We start from the raw sequence: 20,965 nt of genomic DNA, 5'->3' as shown, positions 1-20,965 counted from the left end.
TCACAGTGAAAGGAGTCTGGCATGAAAAGACTGAGAGAGTTGGCATGAGGAAGGATTGCTGATAGGATGCTCAGCCCACACTCTCTCTTCTGAGGTCTTCAGCGTTCCCAGCCATTCCCAGGGCCCTTTCATCCATCTAGAATTCTCTCCCAAGCTTCATACCCAGCTATGAGGCTACCTTTGTGAAATTTAAATGTATACATTGCAGGAACCTCAATTGTAACAGGTTCAAAATGGAACCCTTGGTCCCCATCTCACCCAAAGCCTTCAGCAAGAAAGGCACCTCTTTTCAGTCCTTTGCTTATCCCAAATCCTTGTATAATTTATCTGCCCTCACTATTCCCATACCTATCCTGGTACATTCTGTCCAACATGAGAACCTATGATTCCTCCTTGAAATATGTCTCTAACAATTTCCTTTTCTGCATACACTACTCCACTACTTTCAATTAATATCCCTCATCTCTTGCCAAGAACTATTAAAATGATATTCTCACTGGGCTTCTTGTTTCTATTTTTGCCTCCTTTTATTTTATTCTCCATATAGTAGTCCAAATTACCTTTAGACACTGCAAATTTAAGTGTTTCTCTCCTGAACTCAAAACTCTTTAAAAGGTGCCAATAGCATGAATTATGAATATAAGTCTTTTTCCTGGCCTAACTTAACAACTTTGATGTTCCAAATCTACCGGCCTCATTAGTTTCTTTTGCTACCATTCCCCTTCTGTTTCATAACTCTGCTTCCACATAGACACTGTTTCTGTTCTCCTTCAATAAGCATCATCTTTCACCATCAGGATTTTGCACATGCTCTTCCTTCTTTCCGGAACACCTTTCCCCATTAACATAGCCTTACCCAAAATTTAGATCTTAAATGGTACTTTCTCAAAGAGGGTTTCCCTCACTGCCAATCTAAATATGTCTCCCAGGTTACCTTTTCATGGCATTCTTTGCTTCCTTTCTTAACACTTAGTTAGGACAGTTAATAATTATATTGTTTTGCATCTCTTTTGCTTATTATTATAACCTACACTACCACAATAGGAAATGGCACAAGGAGACAATCCATAAATAGCAATCTGTTGGCATGTGAAATTAGATAAAGAACATAAGCTTGCCTCCTTTACCTCTAAATATCCTATTGTAATGACTGTAAGAATGGAAAAGGAAACATACCAAAGAAAATTGGAGAGATAGGAGGGTATTCCATGGTAGCTGGAAGGTTTGGAGATAGGAGGGTATTCCATGGTAGCTGGAAGGTTTTGGGTTGATTTCCGAAAGTAATAATGTATATGGCTATTGATGGATAAATCAGGGTGGAGGAACTTGCTCAGTACACATAAAGAAGAATGCCAGGCACTGGGGGGAATCAGAATTCTCAGAGAGGCTCATGAGCCAGTGGACACTGACTGGAGCGGGGGGAAGAAAGAGACAGAACCACAATGGATCCATGGCTCCCATCTTTCTGTTGGCAGAGTAATCGGCAACCCAGAATTACTCCCTAAAGAAAAAAAAAATTGTGAACTTCTTTGGAAAGTAATTCTTAAAAGCTGCCCTGAGAGAAAAGGAGATTTGAATGTGGCTGATAGAGCCCAATAGTAGAACTCTTCTAATTCTGAAATTCAAGGGAGTGAAGGCAGAGGAAGGGGAGTGGAAGTAGCTAGAAGGGGCCACCCCTCCGGGCTTCTTTGCCTGCGCAACATGCAGGTCGACATATTTGTCCATAAAAAGCAGGCTGCCCAATTAGTCACACTTTCTGAGACACGTGTCCCATGTATTCAGCAGTAGAGATTACGTAAACCAGCTACCTACCTCAATAATCAAAATTATCATTACTAGATATGAATGGACAATCAAAATTTACAAGGAGCTGTGGAGAACATCATTAGTTTGCAATGCAAGAACCAAGATTGACACTCAGAAGAGCTGACTCCGAAAGAAACATTTCAGACAGGAATATTAAAAATTTTGATAGGATTTTTAGCTAACTCAAGAAGTCATTACACACACACGCACACACACACACACACACATACATACACAGATATTAAAAAGGAATAACCAAAAGGCAAGATAGTGTTCGTGAAGTTTAGAACATTGTTGAAAAAAATAAACCAGAAGAGCTACGAGAAAAAGTTCAGAAAATATCTCAGGATTTAAGAATGGAAAACAGAAAAGTTGAGATGTAAAAGATCAATTCAGAGGGCCCAGCATTTGATGTGTATACTTTCTAGACAGTAAGATGGGAAGGAAATAAATAATTAAATAAATTGTACCATATTTCATAAATGCTAAAATGACCTCATCTCTAAAATGCATTATTATTTCACATATTACTAAGGAAATAAAAGCTCTGGCAATTGAATTATGATGCCACATTTTCATCCACTTGAATTGTTATTTTAAAATATGTAAAGAGTTCTTTTAGATATGTTCAGACATATATTTTATTATATATTAGTCTTGATCATATATAAAATTAAATATTTGTAAAATAATTTCAAAACATATTCAGTCTGACTCTTTTAAATAGTTACGGGTCTTAAGGTCATATATGCTCATTTTTCACCCCAATATTGCTTATTGTACCATCAGGAACTTTAGGACATGGGCATTATGAAACACTTCTAACTGTCACCAAACATAATACTATTAACTCAGATTTTCTTCCAAGCTTCTGAAACCATTTCTGCAAGTTTTGATGTTGGCATTATTTCATATGGTATGTATAGTTAATACAATAGCCCAGCTTCCACTTGTAAGGAGGGTGGCTGCCTTTCTTAGTCCCTATAAAGCATGGGCATTGCTTTGCAAGAAAACAGTAAATTTCACTCATTCATCCAAATATAAGTATTTGCTTCCCTAATATCAACTATTGCATCACCATTCCATTTCAGTAATTTTCAGCATTCACAATAAATTTTCGACTTCAAATAACAATACATTGTTTCAAAATTAATGGCAGCTCTACTCAACAAATACAGCACCAACATGAACTTGCGGTGACAACAATATAGGCACCAATGATGAAATACACACTTGTATGGACACTGATAATTACATCAAGATCTTAATTTCAGAAGCATGAAGATATACAAAAATAGATCTTAATATGGGCCTTAAGCACAGTGGAATATTCAGCTTTTTATTAAATTTCTATTTTTTATGTTCATCTGTCCAACATTGAAAGAGGCATATTAAAGTTTGAATTTTATCTTCACTATGAATCATACCCTTTTCTATACCAAATGACAGCATTTCTGCTTTTTTATTTATTTCATTGAAGTCTACTTTTTTATATTAATAGCTTGACACCTGATGTCTTTTTGTTTAAATTTACTTGATACATCTTTGCCTATCATTTCACATTTATATTTCTTGTCACTTTATTTGAGATAAGCTAACTGAAAACCACATTTGGCAAAACACTGCTGTTCATTTCCAATCTAAAAGATTTTTGTCTTTTAGTAGGGAAATTACACTTAGTTTGATTATAAAATTTACATAATTTAGATTCATCTCCCTTAGCTGATTTTAGTTCTTGTCACATCATTTTATACCATGATTTCTTCATTCTTTTGTTAAATTTCTTTTTATTGTGAAATATATCATGCTCATAAAACAATGTGTGTGTGTATATATACATATATATATATATATGTTAATAGTAAGTTGAATAAACATCTAATACCCACTACCCAGCTTAAGAAACAGAAGATCATAAATGACTTTGAAGTTCTTATTGATCTAATGGATCACATTCATTCCTTCCCCCAGATTTAATACTATCTTGTATTTTGTGTTAATAATTATTTTTTATGCCTTTGCCATATATATGCACCTTAAAAAAACATAATGATCAGTTTACCTATTCCTGGATTTTATACAAAGGGAATTGACACCTGCTATTTTTGCTCTGCATGATGTTTTGTGTTGGTAGCTGTTATTAATTAATTTTCCATAATGTGTGGTATTCCATCCAAAGCTGTACAACCTCCCAACAGTATTAGTAACATTGTGTTCTATATGAATAGTGCTGACCATGGGAACAGCGCACCAGAACTGAGCAAGATGATGACTGTGATTCTACTGTATGAGTGCAATATCATTTGTTCCTTTGAATAATTCATTATTTATTATTTCTATTTATTTTTCTTGCTATGAGTATGATTTTGCATGTCTTCTGAACATATATGCAAGAGCTTCTTTAGGGTTTCTAACTAGGAGTAGAATATCTTAGCTTTACTAAGTAATGCGAGATCATTTTCCTAAGTGGTTTTACCAATGCCTGTTCCCACCAGCCATGTGCAAGGACTGTTATTGATGTTTGCCAAGATTTGGTATCAACAGACTTTTAAAATTTAGAGTCCGTTCTCTAATTTCTATTTTAGTTTGTTTTCTCTTATTAATGAGATTGAACATCTTTTCATATGTTTATTGGCCTTTTATTATTTTATCTTTTGTGAAGTAGCTGTTCAGATCTTTGTCTATTTTTCAATGTGGTTGTTTGCCTTTTTCTCACAGATTCTTTCATGGAAATACTTCATATTTAAGATAATTATCTTTTTATGGTTAAATGTGCTAAACTATCATCTCTTAGTTTCTGTTTGTATTTTTATAATTTTTATGATATATTTTTAAAGTAATTTAAATACATGTATTTTAATGTTGATTTTTTCAATTGTTTCCTCTTATTGTTTTGTCACAAATATATGACAAAAATCCTTCACTTCACTAAGGTTATAAATTATTTTGCCATACTTTCTGGTAGAACTTTAATTTTTTCAACAGTTAACTTATTAGCCCATTTATACCTAGTGTCCCATTATCGGAATGCTAAGCTTGTGGGCATTATTGATATCCAACTGCTCAAGGTCATCATCAAGGTCTGATTCTTCACAAAAAAACTTTTGCAGCTTCCGGCATAAATGGGTTGTCAGCAATTCTTTGGTTTTCATCTTTTACATAAGAAAAATCAGTTTTCCCAGCACACTACACTGGGCGATCATTTCCCTGCGGATCTCTAATGCCAGTTCTTTATCATCTCACATTTCCACATATGAAGAGAACTATGCTTCTGAGCTCAGCTCTCTATTCTGTGCCATTGATCTGTTTGTCTATCCCTGTGTACACACCATGCTACATCACTAGAGTTTTATAATAAGTTTTAATGTCTGCTAAAGCAAATCTTCTCAACTTGATCTTTTTCTTTAGAAGTGTCTTGGTTATTTTGGCCCTTTGCTTATTTATGTAAATTTTTAAATACATTTTTCAAGTTCCACAGAACACATTGCTAGGATTTGGACTAGAATTACATTGCATCAATAAGACAAGTGAGGGAGAACTGACAACTTTTCAACTCAAGGTCTTTCTATGAATGACATGAAATAGCTCCATTTATTTTGGTCATCTTTAATGACATTCTATAGCATTTGATAATTTTCAACATAACAATCTTGCTTATTTTTTGTTAATTATCATTCCTAAGAATCTTAAGGTTTTTGAGCTAGTGCAAATTTAATGACATTCTCTAACTATTGCTATTTAGATGCATAAAAATGCAAATTGCTCTTGTATAATAATGATAGTTACTAACTGTATGCTGCGTTCTACTGTACCAGGTCCTGAGCTAACCTCTTTATATACTGATTAAATCCTCTCGACAACTCTATGAGCTAGGTCCTGTTATTATAACCACGTCTCAGATTAGGAGACTGAAGCACTGAGAGGGTTCGTTAATTCACCCTTCTACGAGCTCTAGCAAGTGCAAGACTGGAGTTTGAACCCCAGAATCTGACCAGTGTTTAGGCTCTAGTGTATGGCCTATCGTGATTTGCATCTGCTATGCTCAAATTGTTTTTGAATTATATTTGAATAACTTAAATTTTAAATAATTATATTTGAATAATAGAGAATTTAATAATTCTCTATTATTTGTGATGCAGTCCTATAATCATATAATCTAGGAATACGGTTTTGTTTTGTTATTCAAATTATTATGCTTTTGTATATTGTTCTGGCCAAAACCTAGGGTTCACTACTGAATAAGAGTAATGGGCCAGGCATGGTGGCTCACATCTGCAATCCTAGCACTTTGGGAGGCCAAGGCAGACAGATCACCTGAGCTCAGGAGTTCGAGACCAGCCTGGCCAACATAGTAAAACCCTGTCTCTAGTAAAAATTAAAAAAAAAAAAATTAGCCCGCGTGGTGGCAGGGGCCTGTAATCCCAGCTACTCAAGAGGTTGAGGCAGGAGAATCACTTGAACCTGGGAGGTGGAAGTTGCAGTGAGCCGAGATCATGCCATTGCACTCCAGCCTGAGTGACAGAGCGAGACTCTGTGTCAAAAAAATAAAAAGGTACTGGAAATCCCCTCTCTCCTTTGTTTATTAAGAATTTTTCTCCTGAATACGTGTTAAAGCTTAATGAATGTTTTTTCCACACCTCTTGAAGTAATTGAGCAATTCTTTCATTTTGTTTAACCTGTCAACTTGGTAAAGCATAAAAATTCATTTTTAAATGTTGCACCAACCTTACATTTTATGATACAAAATACTTTTCATATAATAGTCTTATAATAACTTTGGGTTTGATTTGTCATAATTAATTAATTAATTAAAAATTAAGTAACAAAATATTAAGAACATACCTATTATCCAACAGTTTAGACTGGCTTTTGATGTTCTGTTCTTGTACAGTTCATATCTGATTTTGGTATTGATATGGGTTGGGTCTGTGTTCCCGCCCAAATCTCATGTCAACTTGTAATCCCCAGTGTTGGAGGTGGGGCCTGGTGGGAGGTGATTGGATCACAAGGACAGATTTCCTTCTTGGTGCTGTTCTCATGAGAGTGAGTGACTTACCATGAGATCTGATTGTATAAAAGGGCATAGCACCTCTCCCTTTCTCTCTTCCTCCTGCTCCAACCATGTAAGACATGCCTGCTTCCTCTTCACCTTTCGCCATGATTTTAAGTTTCTGGAAGCCTCCCCAGAAGCAGAATCCTGTACAACCTGTAGAACCATGAGCCAATTAAGCCTCTTTTCTTTATAAATTGCCAGTCTCAGGTATTTATAATACCAGTGAGAGAACGGACTAATACAGGTATCAAAGTTATATTAGCTTTATAAAATTAGTTGAAGAGTACGCTTTTATTTTTAAAATAATGGCAAGATATTCTTTTTGTAAATGTAGATCATCTCTTTCTTTTCGTTTGCTGAAATTTACTTGTAAAATCATCTGAAACTGGTGTTTTCTCTATGGGAGAACGTTAAATTTTTGATTTAATTTTTTAAATGTTTATAGGCTCATTCAGGTTGTTTTTTTCCTTACAAATTTGGTTTTGTAAATTATACATCTTCTTGAAGACTTTTCTGTTTCTCTTAGGTTTTCAAATATATTGACATAAAGTTGTTTATGGTATTATTTTATTATATTGTAATCTCTGCTGCATCTATAATTATGTCTCCTTTTTCATTTTTACTCTTTTTTATCTGTGCCATCTTGTATTTTTTTCATTGCAGTTAATCTTTCTGGAGGTTATTTTACTTTTTCAAAGAATCAAGTTTTCATTTTTTAGATCCTCTCTATTATATTGTTTGTCTGCTGTTTCATAAGTATCTTCTTTTATTTTTAGTATTTTCTTTCCTCTGAGTCATTTGGGTTTATTCTACTTACACATTTCTAATTAAGTTGGATGCATAGGTTTTTTTCAGCCTTGTTTTTTCTAATACAGACATCAAAATCTACAAATTCCCATGAAGTTCCATTTTAGCTGTACCCCAAAAGTTTTTATTTTACTTTATTTTGTCATTGAATTAGAACTTATACAAAGTACTCTAGTCATAAGTATATACCTAGTGATTTTCAAAATAATAGCTAATAATTTTAATCCATGTAACTATCACCAGATCAAGACATAGAGTATTTCCAGACTCCTAGTCAATTACCCCACGCTACTTCCATCGTCTCTGACTGCCATAATACAATACCACAGACTGGGTGGCTTAAATAAGAGAAATTTGGTTTGCATTCTTGAGGCTGGCAGTTTGCAATTAGGGTGCCAGCATGTCTGGGTTCTAGAGAGGACCCTCTTCCTGGGTTGTGGACAGCTGCCATCTCTGTGTCCTCATGTGGCATTTCCTCGGTGTGTTAGTCTCTCTTCTTTTAAGGGCATTAATCCCACATGAGGGTTCCCATTCTCAAGACCTCATATAACTCAAATTACCTCCCAAAGGCCCCATCTCTGAAAAACATCAAATTGGGGGTTAGAGCTTCAACATATGAATTTGAAACAAAAACATTCAATCCATAACACTTGGCCACAGAATATACCTATGTACTAAGGCAGCCTTAACTTTCCCTCAGCTTGACTATCTTTAAATAGGTTTCTTCTTGCCTCTAGGTGCCTGATCTCCCTCTCATCCCAGCACTCACGGAATCCAGATGACATAACCACATGGCCATTTTATCAGAGCACTGACTTTAGAAAACTTGTCATTGTCGATGATTTCTCTGTTCCTTGGACATGTAAATCTTTTTAAAAGCCTCTTGACAATTTTTCAATGCAGGACTCTTTCCTAAGGACCTGGGAGCTGTTTCAAAAATCATCAAGGAAGATAGCATCTTATTTCCCTGTTTCTGTGGGAGGGTGGGAGAATAATATCAGCGGGCACCTTGCTTGAAGTTGTAAAATTACCTCCTGCCATGAAGATATGAGAAAATTTATTTTTCCTTTAGGTAAGGCCAAGTAGAAAACCCACATGTCCTAATACCTCTCCCCACCCCAGTTCTCAAAAACTCTCCAGCCCTTTGTTTTAGTGAAGTTGAGCACAGACTGAGATCTGATCTCTCTCCCCTATAGTAATAGCATTGAATAAACACTTCCTTACAGGCTATCTTAGTCTGTTCAGGCTGCTAAACAAAAGACCATAAATTTGGTGGCTTATAAACAACATAAATTTATTTCGTACAATTTTAGAGGCTGGGAAGTCCAAAATCAAAGTACCATTATATTTGATGTCTGGTAAGGGCTTATTCTCTGCTTTATAGATGGCACCTTCTCACTGTGTACTCACATGGCAGAGGGGCAAGGTAGTTCTCTGGGGCCCCTTTTATGAGGACATCAATCCCATTTATGAGGGCTTTTTCCTCAGGACCTAATCACCTCCCAAAGGTCCCACCTCTTAATACTGATACATTGGATGTTGGGTTTCAACATATAAATTTTGGTGGAAGACGGCATTCAGGTTATAGGACATGCTTAACTTTGCTTAGTGCAACGTTTGCTTCAACACTATTAGGCTTTTGTAGATATGGCCAATTTTTTGAGTGTCTTTACTAATTTATTCCCAAGAAAAATGTAGGAGAATTCCAGTTGTTCTACATCGTTGCCCACTCTTGATGTTGTCAGTGGTTTTAATTTTACCTACTTTGGTAGAGTTGTGGTGGTATTTCACTGTGCATTTCATATGAATGTCTTGATAACTACCATAACCAAATCCTTTTATATTTCCTTCTTGGACATTTGAATGTCTTCTTTTGTATTTATTCAGGTGTTTTGTGGGACCCAAAGAAGCTCGCAGGTTGCAATTAGTTATCACACATCCTCCTGTGGCACTTCCACAGTGCTTGTCTTTTATGACATTGCCTCTTTTAGAGAGTTTCAGCCAATTATTTGGTAGAATATCCCTCAATTCAATGCCGTCTGATGTTTCTGTACTTACACTCAGGTGCTGATAATGTTGGCAAGAATGTCACAGAAGAAGCTTGTGCTTCTCAGTGTATCCTGTTAGGAGGCACAAGATGAGAGTTTGTTACATTCTTGGAGATAATGACACTAAACAACAGAAGCATTCCTTTAAAGTTTCTGTAGAGAAAAATGTTCAGTGTGGCACCATTGCTAGATAAAATGAATGTAAATAAATAAGTGAAGTAAAAATAAATAAAAATCAGCAAGCTTTCAAATTTCCAAATATTCTGAAATATTAAAATATACTTTTTATTTAAAATAATATACATAGCTCTTAAAAGTGATCTTATCATAATCTTTTAAATGTTAAAATATCACAGTTTATAAATAGGTATATGCCAAACCATGAATAACCACAGATTAGTAAGTGAATTTTAGAAGTAGCCAATTTGGAAATAATTCAAAATATAGTTATTGTAATTATTTAATTGCCATAAATTTCTCAAGTTCTCTAGGGCTTTTTTCCTCTTCTCTATACCGCTTTTATTTTATATCAATTCAACTTACTGAGAGGAATTTTCAAGGCTTTTTTTCTTTTCAGCAAGCCTGTTAGCCATGCTAAGCAAATACTGAGTGCCAGGTTTTTTAACTTAATGACAAGTGGCTGGAAACTCTGGTGAATGTCTTCCTCTATATTTAAGAAAATTTATCTGTTGAGAAAAACACTTTAAAATTACCACTATTGTCTTCCGGTCTCCAAAAAAGATATAGGCAAAACAGTTTTCTCAAATACTCCATAAAATTTTTCCTTTAAAAAGAGATTATTTTATTTTAAACAAGAAATCAATACCCACTAGGAAAGCAATACCATGTCAGAGTGAGAAAGAGAGTGTGTATATCCTCCAGAGGCCAAATAGAATGTAATTTTAAAATGTGCAATGGTTAATTCTGTTTATCAATTTTTCTGGGCCACAGGATGCCCAGACATTTGGAACATCATTATGCTAGGTATGTCTGTGAGGGTGTTTCTGGGTGAGACTGACATTTTGCAATGGTACACCAAGTAAAGCTGACTGCCCTCCTTAATGTGGGTGGCCCCCCTCCAGTCAACCAAAGGCCTGCATACAACAAAATGTCTGAGTAAGAGGAAATTTCACCTGCCTGACACTGGAATTGGAGCATCAGTCTCCTCCTGCCCTCTGACTGGAACTTACACCACCAGCTCTCCAGGTTCTCAGGCCTTCACATTCAGGCTGGAACTACTCCACCAGCTTTCTTGAATCTCCAGCTTGCTTACTGCAGATCTTAGCACTTCTCAGTTTCCGTAATTGCATGAGCCAATTTCTCATAACAAATACACACACACACACACACACACACACACACACACACACATTTGTCCCTCAATATCCAATGGAGTTTGGTTCTAGGACCTCCCACAGATACTAATACCCCCCGGTGCTCAAGTCTCTGATATAAAATGCCATGGAATTTGCACATAATCTATGCCTTTACTTCAACATCACTGCCTCAGCGGCTTCCCCAGTCCCTACCCTGGAGATGGTCCCCACTTCACTCTTTCCCACCTGCACTTCCTCAGACTAACCCATCAATCACTGCATTGTCATTACTCCTGTGATTGGCAGCTCCTCTACCAGGCAAACTCTCTAAAATCAGTCCCGGTGGCCCCAACTCAGCATCAGGAACAGTGCTGGGTAAAAGGGGGCTCGACAACGTGGAACTGAATAAAAGAATTAGGAGGGACAAGAAGTGCTTGCACTTAGAAGTGGATTTGGAGCGCTAGTTTTAGCAGGACCTTTCCTGAGAAGACTGAGGCCAGGTGTCAGTAGGCAGGTGCCTGAGAAGAGAATGCGAGGAGAGGAGATGGAAATGCGGTCAGACGGCCAAGAACGCAGGACTCCCGGGCACTGGTGGCTGAGCGTGCCGGGGGCTTCCATTCGGGCCTGCAGACACCCACAGACCTTATTATCCCGGCCCCGCCGGCTTGGGGGCCTTCTGCCTTCCTTCTCAAAGGGCACGACCGCAGGCGGCGGCGACCACAGACGGCGGCGACTGCAGGCGGCGGTGGGGCACGAGTCGGCACCGAGGGCGGACCCGCGGTCGGGGTGAGTCCCTACCTCCTGGGAGAGGCTGGGGCCGCGTGGGGGACCCGGGGCGGGGTCGGCCGACGCCCCTTCCCCAGCACCCGCCCTCCCCGGCTTCTCCAAGGCCTCACCCCGCCGCGGGAAGAGCAGGTGACCGCACGCGAGGGCCCCGCGGGGGACCCAGGGCTGGCTTGAGCGCACTGGCCTCCTGCTCTTGCAAGGAGGACTCCAAAACGATTCTGAAAGGGAAAGTGTCTTGAAATTAACTGGAGGCCGAAACCCAGGGGAAGCTGGTGGTGCAAAGGACTCATCCACGCTTTGGGCTGTTACATAGAGAGGATTTTGGAGGAGGGGCAAGAGAAGTTGGGACCCTGGGCTTTTCTGTTTCAAGCAAGCAAAGGGAGGGTGGCGGACTCCTATTTCAGAGTAGGGAGGAGCCTTGGGTCTTTATTTCTTACATGTATCAGGGACTCACCTGAAAAGAAAATGATGTGTGCCACAAGTAATTAGTAGCATTCCTGACCCCATATACAGAGCCAGGCGTCCTAACTCCTGACACCTAAGCTCTTTTCCACCCCTGGCGCTGGAGCCACGGTGCTAAGTGTGAGTGGTTCTGTCCCTGGGCTGCACATGACAGAAACACGTGCAGACTGCGTGGCTCAGACACAGAGTGGCTGGGGACACTGCTACGTCCTCTATCGGGGGGTTCAGAGGCAGGGCGGGCTTCAGGCTGACTCAGCAGCCCGTGATGTCATCAGAGACTCACATTCTCCCTCACTCACTGCCCCAACTTCATCCTCAGGTTGGTCACAAGGGGCCTCCGCAACTGGAAGCATTTCACGTCCAGGACAAGATGTCCAGAGGAAGAGAACAGAACAAATGACTTACTGAAGTAGAAAGCGTTTCCCAGACCTGTCCCCCAGTAGATGCCCTTCAAAGTAGCCAGAATCCGTGCATTCTAACTTGAGCCTGGATTAGGGTGGGGCAAGCAGGTGTCTAGGGTACAAAAGTTGAGAAAGCACGGGTCGGGCGCGGTGGCTCACGCCTGTAACCCCAGCACTTTCGGAGGCTGAGGCAGGCGGATCACCTGAGGTCAGGGGTTCGAGACCAGCCTGGACAACGTGATTAAACCCTGTCTCTACTAAAAATACAAAAATTAGCGACTGTGGTGGGCGCCTATAATCGCAGCTACTTGGGAGGCTGAGGCATGAGAATTGCTTGAACCCAGGAGGCGGAGGTTGCAGTGAGCAGAGATTGCTCCATTGCACTCCAGCCTGGGCAACAAGAGCAGAACTCTGTCTCTAAGTAAATAAATAAATAAATAAATAAATAAACAAACAAACAAACAGAAAAGAAAAGAAAGCAGAATCCTTAAATCGAGTGCCTCCTTACAGTAGTGCCTTAGGTCCCCACTCTGATTTTTTAAATGATGGTTTCATTGAGATATAATTCACATACTAAAAAGCACCCTTTTAATACGTGCAATGCAGTGATTTTTAGTATATTCACAGACTCGTGACACTATCACCACTAATTCTAGGACATTATAAAAAAATTCACTTCCTTAGTACTCATTCTTGATTCCGTTAAAAAACAGAGATTGTCAGACTGGTTAAAAGTAAGACCCAAACATATACTGTCTACAAGAAATTCACCTTGCATTTACACAAATAGGTTAAAAGTAAATGAAGGTAAAATGTGCAACATACTATTCTAATCAAAAGAAAGCTGGGGTGACTATAATAACATCTAACAAAGTATATCTCAGAGTGGAGAATATTACTGGAGATGAAGAAGGTTATTTCATCATGATAAAGGAGGTCAAATCCTACATAGCAATCCTACATTTTTATTCCTCTGCTAGTAAGAGAGATTCGAAATACATGAAGTAAAACCAAATGTAACCATGAAGATAAAAAGTCCACAATTGTTAGAGAGAGCTGCCAGGTGTTGAGGTGGTCCATTAAGACACTGAGCCAAATGGGAGAGTGACAGTCAGGCTTTTATTCATTTGTGGGGGCAGGGGAGAGAGGGAGATTGGAGCTGGAGTCTGGAGGAAGGGGAAGAGCTAGTAATGGAAAAGCACCGAGTATTGAGTCAGAGTGGAGAAAAGTATCTCCAGGCCCCCTAATAAGGAGGTCTTGGCAGTGTCCCAACAGAGCCCCTGCCCCATAAGGAGGCCTCTGAATGGAGGGGCCAGAGCTAGAAATGCAGGTAGGCACAGGGCATGGCTGGCCCAGGGGGTCCTAAGCCTTTGATGGTGCCTCCCTCCCGAGATCACAAAGCACTAGCTATGAAGTCTGGTGGGAGAAGGGCAGATTTCACCCAAGAGTAGAATATCTGTAATTGCATATGGTTGGGCCTGAAAGATTCCATTTAGGATTTTGTCCTGAAGTTGTACTCTTCAACTTCACCTCTTAATTTTTCAGGATCCTTGAAAGAAGCAAAGACTACCCTATCATGGTCCTAAATAAATGGAATTTGCGGGATTATGACAATAACCCGGTAATTAGTCTGAGCCAGCAATGGACCAAGTTCATCATTGAAATGTTTCCAAATAGGATGATAAGGACTTCTTGGAAGATTAAACATAGCCATGAGCCCCCAACAATGCCAATCCAGGATAAGATGTTTCAAAGGTCAGCAGAGTCTGCTTTAGAGAGCCGGACTCTTCCACTTTGTCAGATTCATTGATCCAGGTGCACCACGAGGTGTTGACAGTGGCACAGACTCTCCTTGGCTGGCCAGCTGGAAGTCCAGGGCTATGCAGCTGCTCAAATACTCAAACCAAAGAGCTGAGGCTGATCTGTTGTGTCTCCAAAACTAAGGTAGTGTTGTTAATGACCTCAGTGATGGTAAGAGACAGGTGCACAACCTTTTCTCACTGAGGGACCTGAGCAGTGGGAAAAACCACCCAGAGCATACACATGAGCAAAGAGGGTCAGCAGTGCTTCTCACCCGGTAAGCCCTCCAAGTAACCAGGGTAGGCTTGGTTCTGGAGCTCATGCCTTACTCAGCCTGGTGCAACATGCTCCTTGGGAGAGGTTGCTTGGAATATTTGAAAAACTCTTATTAATGCCCCATTCGTGCAGATTACAAGGCTATCAAAAAGGAAGGTAAAGGCCTGGTGTTTAGAAAAGAAAGAATACTCTAAAGGTATACATCGGGTTGGGAGTGTAAGAGTCATTGACTACCATAAGGTTCAACCCCCTAGAAGTCCTTCTTGGTAGGCAGTAGGCAGAGTCCCTGAGTGGAACTGAAGAGTCTGTACAAGGAGGGGACAAGTGGAGGAGAGGAGAAGGTCACCACCATCAAGGCCAAAATAGCCCAGTAACAGACCCAGGCTCCTCTTCCCAGTTGCTCCCATGTGGAACAGCATTGAGTTGACAACTAGGAAGTCATTTCGTTCCTACAGTACCAGGGTCCACATATCAGGTAACACATTGGGTCCGGGTGTGTTAGGGCACCTGAGATGCCAGAAAGCTCCATAGTTGAAGAAATGTCCACTCATGCTATTCAGTGGCATGGCAGCCAAAGATTTACATATGGGGTCAAGGAGTGAGTGGCATATCCAACTACTAGTCAAGTTCAGCATGATGGCAGCTGCCTGAGTCAGGCCTACGAATGAATTTTGTAAGGCCAGAGTCACACAGACTACCCATGAGAGAGAGGAGAGAGGTTAGATCCCACTTCTTGCCCCGTATCTGAGTTCACAGGACCAAAGGTTCTCATGTCTTATTAGTTCAGGAGACTCCTCATTGACTGTGACATGGGCAGTCTGTCCCGTGCCATGAGCAAGAATAGTGCTCTTAATTCATTCTTAGAATGGTGAACCTAAATATTCTGGCTTGGCTTCTCCTGGGGTTCCATCAAAGTTTCTATTTGATATTTGATATGTATCCCATGGGGCTACACGGAGTAAAGCAGCAGGGCCACCTTAGGGAAAATGTTGAGACATTGAATTGATGGTTATTATCTTTGAAGTCCTTGTAGGCAAAATTCAGGCACTGCAACCAGGGAGTAAATGGAGAAGCAAGTTCATGCCTCCCAATCTGTGCTGTTTAGTAGCCTTCCTGATCTCCCACTGATTTTGGTCTTCAGGAAGGGCTCAAAAAGGATGGAGGGAACTTGCATGATCCACCATGGAAACTGATTTGCCAATAATTTTAAAAGAGGGGTGTGCAACTGAGGGAAAGAGACAGATAGCCCAATCAATCACACAGCACAAATGAGAAGTGCACTTAGAGAATTGCCGCAGTGAGACCCCAAATTGCACACCTGAGACATGTAGCCAGGCTGGGATTATATTGTCCATTTCCATCAGCCACTTCAACCTGTTCTTTTCCTGTTAAAATATGCGATCATTGCTGTGGCTTGTAGATGATACAGAGCATGGAGAATCCATCATGCCTCATAATTTGACCCATGTATAGTTTGGGCTGCAAATGTATCGTTTGGGCCATTATTAGATACAATGTATTCAGGAAGCCAGAGAAATAAACAAATATGGTTTTGGAGGGACTGAAGAGTGTTGCCTGAGTCAGGGAAACACATGGGGATGACTAGTCCAAATACAGAGAACTCATCAACTACATTTAGGATCCAGCAGAATGCTCTGGATGGGATGAGGGGACTAGTGTGATCAACCTGCAAAGAACATCCTGGCCTTTTTGACCAGAAGGATCTGTCCCTGAGCAGAATGTTTAGCCTTGCTCAGGGTCTGGCGGGTGGATTATCTTTTTCATGCTGTGTTGGCATCTTTTGAAGATAATAGTTCATGCATACAGATCCAGGCTAGGATGGCATCTTGATTCCCAGGGCCCTTCCTCTCATGGATCAGAGGCAATGAGTTGAATATCTGTTATCTCTGGGGCAGATGACAAATCATTCTCCATGTTTAGCTGACATGCACGGTCTGCTCATTGCCTTGATTGGCTCATTGCCTTTGTCAGCATAGGGAGCTCTCTGGTGAGCACCCACAAGGATAACAAAGAGCTTATTAGGAGTAGAATTGAATTTTATCCGAATGTCTCATCCCAAGAGAGGGATGTGTTTTACATGTCAGCACAATTTTGCCAGTAGCTCAATCAAATGTTCAGACCATTAACTACAGCCCATGAGTCAGTGAAAATATAGCAGGGCTCCTTTGTTGAGGGAGCCTGGGTAGCCAACCATACTTTATAAAGCTTTGCACATTTATGCTGAACTTGCCAAGGGATAGATCTATCTCAGGTTGTATGACAGCTGCACCTCATTCCAGCATAGTAAATGTTAATCAAGAGACACCGTCAGTGAACCAGGCTTATGTGTGGCCCAGAAGGTCCTTGTATCTGAGTTCCCATTGGCCAAGTGAAGGCAGTGGCTCATTGGACGACATGCCTGGGAGGGGGACAACACTCCTGAGTCCTTGCCATTGAGTTGAAGGCCCCAGCTGGGCTGGGTTTTACCTGCTTCTGTGTAGAACATTTTCATTCACTAGAGAATACTCTTAAGCCACACCCACCTGGATATTTGAGGCCTCTGCTCACTCATAACATGATTGGAATTTGGGATCATAAAACTATGTCACAGCCGTGAGTCACGTACTCATGCATATCTACCTAGGCCCAATAACAGGACAATAATTGTTTCTCAAAGTGTATGTGCCTTTTGGCTGACTCCCTTTCAGCTGACTCCAGGATCTTATAAGTTGAAAAACCCAACAAGTGTCTGATGTTATTTTTCTACTATGAGCGATAGTAAAGGAACTGAAATGTTGTTGAGACCTGTAAGTCGAATGGCAAATGTGGATCCATGGGGTCCAGGGGAAGGGAGGGTACTTGGATGGCTGTGGTAGCCTGTTGAATGGGCCCCATTGAAACATAGCAGCCTTTTCTAGTAACCTCTTAGTTGGGTCCCATCAAAATCCCCACAAGGGAAATGTGACAGTAACAGTAGATGAATAAGCCCACAAATCACTGGGCATCCTTTTTATTTGCTGGGGCAGAGACAGCCAAAAGCTTGGCAGTCATCTCCTCTAAACGAGATGTTGTGCCACTTGCCCAGATTACAACCAGGAAATTCACTTGGGGTCTCTGTCTGTTAATGGTGTAGTTGGGTTGCTGCGTGAAAGTCATCAGTCCTCAAGCACCTAGTCCTTATTTGGCAATGTCTTTGTTTGGGTTCACAAGGAGGATGTCATCAATAGAGTGCAAGGCTAGTGCTTCCTCCAGGCAAGCAACTCTCCCCAGAGCATAACCTATTCATTGATGGCAGCTATGTGGGGAATTTAGGTCACTTTGTGAAAGGACATTAAAGGTGGATTGCAACCCATTCCACATAAAGGCAAGTTGATCCTGGACTTCTCCGTGTGGGAGGATGCTGAAAAAGGCATTGATGATATCAACTGTCCCATACCAAGTTCCCTCCAGTAGCCTCTGTAAGAATCAAAATGTCAGATACTGCCAATGCAAAGAATGGCACCACAGGCTTGAGCCACCTGTAATAGACAGAGGATCACCAGGTACCTGAGGCCATGTGCGCAGGCCAGACAGAGCTACTGTATGGAGGAACAGTTTCTCAGGAACTTTGCCTCAAGCTTAGCAATTGAAACCAGCCCAATTGTCCCATAAAACTAATATTTATGGTTTATTTTGAAAAAGCATATAAATTAACCCTCATAGTCTTAAAACTCAAGAAAATTACAGTTATCTGAGTTCCTTTCTCAGGAAGCCAACCATCAGTGCTTGCAGATATTATCAAGCAGCTAAAACCCACCAGGTCTACACATCTGGACAATGAGAAACCCGACCCCTCACCCATCATGATGGCCTACGCAACCACCTGCTTCCTGTTGACCAATTCCTCTTCCTTACTTCTCCCTAATTCCTGTTTCCCCACACATGGTTACATTTCTTCCCTGCTATATAAATTCCTAATTTTAGCTGGTCAGGGAGATGGATTTGAGACTTATCTCCCATCTCCTCAGCTGTAGCACCCAATTAAAGTTTTCATTCGTCTTTGCAATACTCATTGTCTCACTGATTGGCTTTCTGTGCAGTGAACAGAAGGACCTAGATGGAATTCCTGATGTTTTAGTGACATAATGACAGCAGTTATTTTTTTCCTCTCTAAAGCAGGTGGGGATACAATGGCCTAGGCGACAGTAATTGGGTACACTCACAGCCTTTCCCATGTCCCACTAAGATGACCCTAAGTGCAGCAATTTCCATCAGGGATTGAGGGTGAAGGCCAGTAGGGGCACATATAGACAATACATCTATACCAAGAACACATGCAGTCATGGGAGCCATAACGTAAAGGCCTCTAGGGGCCCAAAGGTCCCTTCCCAGAGACAGAGCAGGTGGTGGTGGTCTCAGACCCTAAACCAGAGAACATTATCTGTTTCCCCCTCATCCTGGTGCCAGGGATTGTGGGGATCAGAGGTAGCAGTGCACAGATGTTCAGCATGGCCAAGAAGGACATTTCCTCCCACCTCCTCACTGAACTCTGACATTGGCTAGGGCTTCTAGTCATCCCTGGGGACAGAGGGACCTCAGCCTAACCCCTAGTCTTGTTAATTTGTAAAAGTCTAGCTGTCTGGGGAGAGGATCGTGAGGCTCTTCAAGTCATCTCCAGAGTCACTGGGAGGGATGACAACAAGCATAATGCTTGAATCAGTCATAGGGGCTATCACCATGCAAACCCTCGTGAGCTGCCTGCTGGGCCCCCCATGGTCTGGTATCTTGGTGAGGAACTCTTCAGTCTCCTCCTTTGAGAGCCCCTTTATTGAATCATCAGGCTCAGAGAGCAATTTGGGAATGTCATTGCCTAGATCGTCCAGTAGAGGGCGCCGGATAGTCATCTTTGCCTCCCTGCTTCTGCAATCTGTTTTCTTGGAAGCAGCCACTCTTTCCATGCCTTAGGCATTTGTTAAAATAGCTGGATTGTGTCTGGGACGGACTGAGCTGGCCTTATGAGGTTTACCTGGGCTTGATAACCAGCAGTAGTGGCATAAAAATTCTTGAAATCTGAGTCTGGTGAACAGTCTTATCCTCTGCTTCCCCCAGCCCCTCATTGTAGACCCAGAGGACCCCCAGGGTGACTTGCGGGGCTACTATAGCCTCTGCGAAGGGCATCCAGAAGTGTTTTTCAATGGCATGGGTCTTGTTACAGTGTACCAAACCTGCCAGATCTGTCGGAGCCCAAGTAGTACCCAGCTGAGGACCAATGATCCCCCTCGGAACCGAAAAGCTTCTGTAAACAACACATTAGCACACTCTAAGGGTGCCCTGCGGGGTCCACTGGCACCTCCCAGACACCCCGTGGCATGGCTGGCAAGTGTTCTGCGGTACCCTCAGACTCTTGCAGATGAACCACCAGCACCTCTACTGTGCCCTGAAGGACTTTTAGGCTTTTTGTTTTTCCAAAAAGGCATTGTGCTTAATTGACCACTCAGCTCCTTTGTCAAATTGAGAGAGAGAGAGAGAGAGAAAGAGAGAGGGGGCATGTATGTGAGTACTTTCAGGTGTTAAGGTGTTGAATTAGGACAACTAGCCCCACTGAAAGTAACAGTCAAGCTTTTATTTGCTTACTGTGATAAGAAGAGGCTACCCAGGACATGGTGCCATTATTTTCCCCATGGAACAGCACCAGGAAGGGTCAGATGACAAGCAGCAGAGGTGGGAGAATTGTCTCATTGCCTAGAAGTCCCAAACGCAAGGTTCCTGCCATTTTGTGGACCCAGGAGCCAAGGGGAGGGACAGGAGGGATGGGATGGGGGAAGGATGGACTAGAAGTGGAAAAGTACTGAGTGCTGAGCTTGAGTGCAAGAGAGTGTCTTCAAGGCTCCTGATAAGAAAGTCTCTTCAGAGGCTCCTGAACAGTGTCTCAGCGAAGGCCTCTGCTCCCCTCATAAGGAGGGCTCTGAGTGAAGCTGTCTGAGCTCGGAATGTAGAGATGCATAAAGGCATGGCCTGGCTCAAGGGCCTGAGTCCTTGACTGCAGCTCCCACTGGACACTTCAATGCCCTGGCTGTGCACCAAATCTGTGAGCAGGGCAGCTTCCCCCCACCTCCCCCATGCAGCCTGCCTTGTAGTTGCCTATGGTCAGGCCTATGGGATCACATATGGGATTTTGACCTAGAGCTGGACCTGTCAACAATTATAGTTGGACATGTCAACACTCATCTC

General features: G+C 41.4%; 1 protein-coding gene across 1 annotated transcript in view; it reads right to left on the bottom strand.

The window, feature by feature from the left end:
- The window catches only part of SERPINB8 (serpin family B member 8), a 49,699-nt gene that overhangs the window by 5,175 nt on the left and 23,559 nt on the right, over positions 1 to 20,965 (bottom strand). Inside the window, exon 7 of the mRNA NM_001348367.2 lies at positions 9,725 to 9,786. Coding sequence (NP_001335296.1) covers positions 9,727 to 9,786 — 60 coding nt within the window. The 3' untranslated portion in view covers positions 9,725 to 9,726. The remainder of the gene's footprint in view (positions 1 to 9,724; positions 9,787 to 20,965) is intronic.

This window comes from Homo sapiens, chromosome 18 (genome assembly GCF_000001405.40).
Source record: "Homo sapiens chromosome 18, GRCh38.p14 Primary Assembly".
Lineage (NCBI taxonomy): Eukaryota > Metazoa > Chordata > Mammalia > Primates > Hominidae > Homo > Homo sapiens.
Note: the sequence above shows the minus strand (reverse complement) of the source record. Positions and strands in the feature narration are given on the sequence as shown.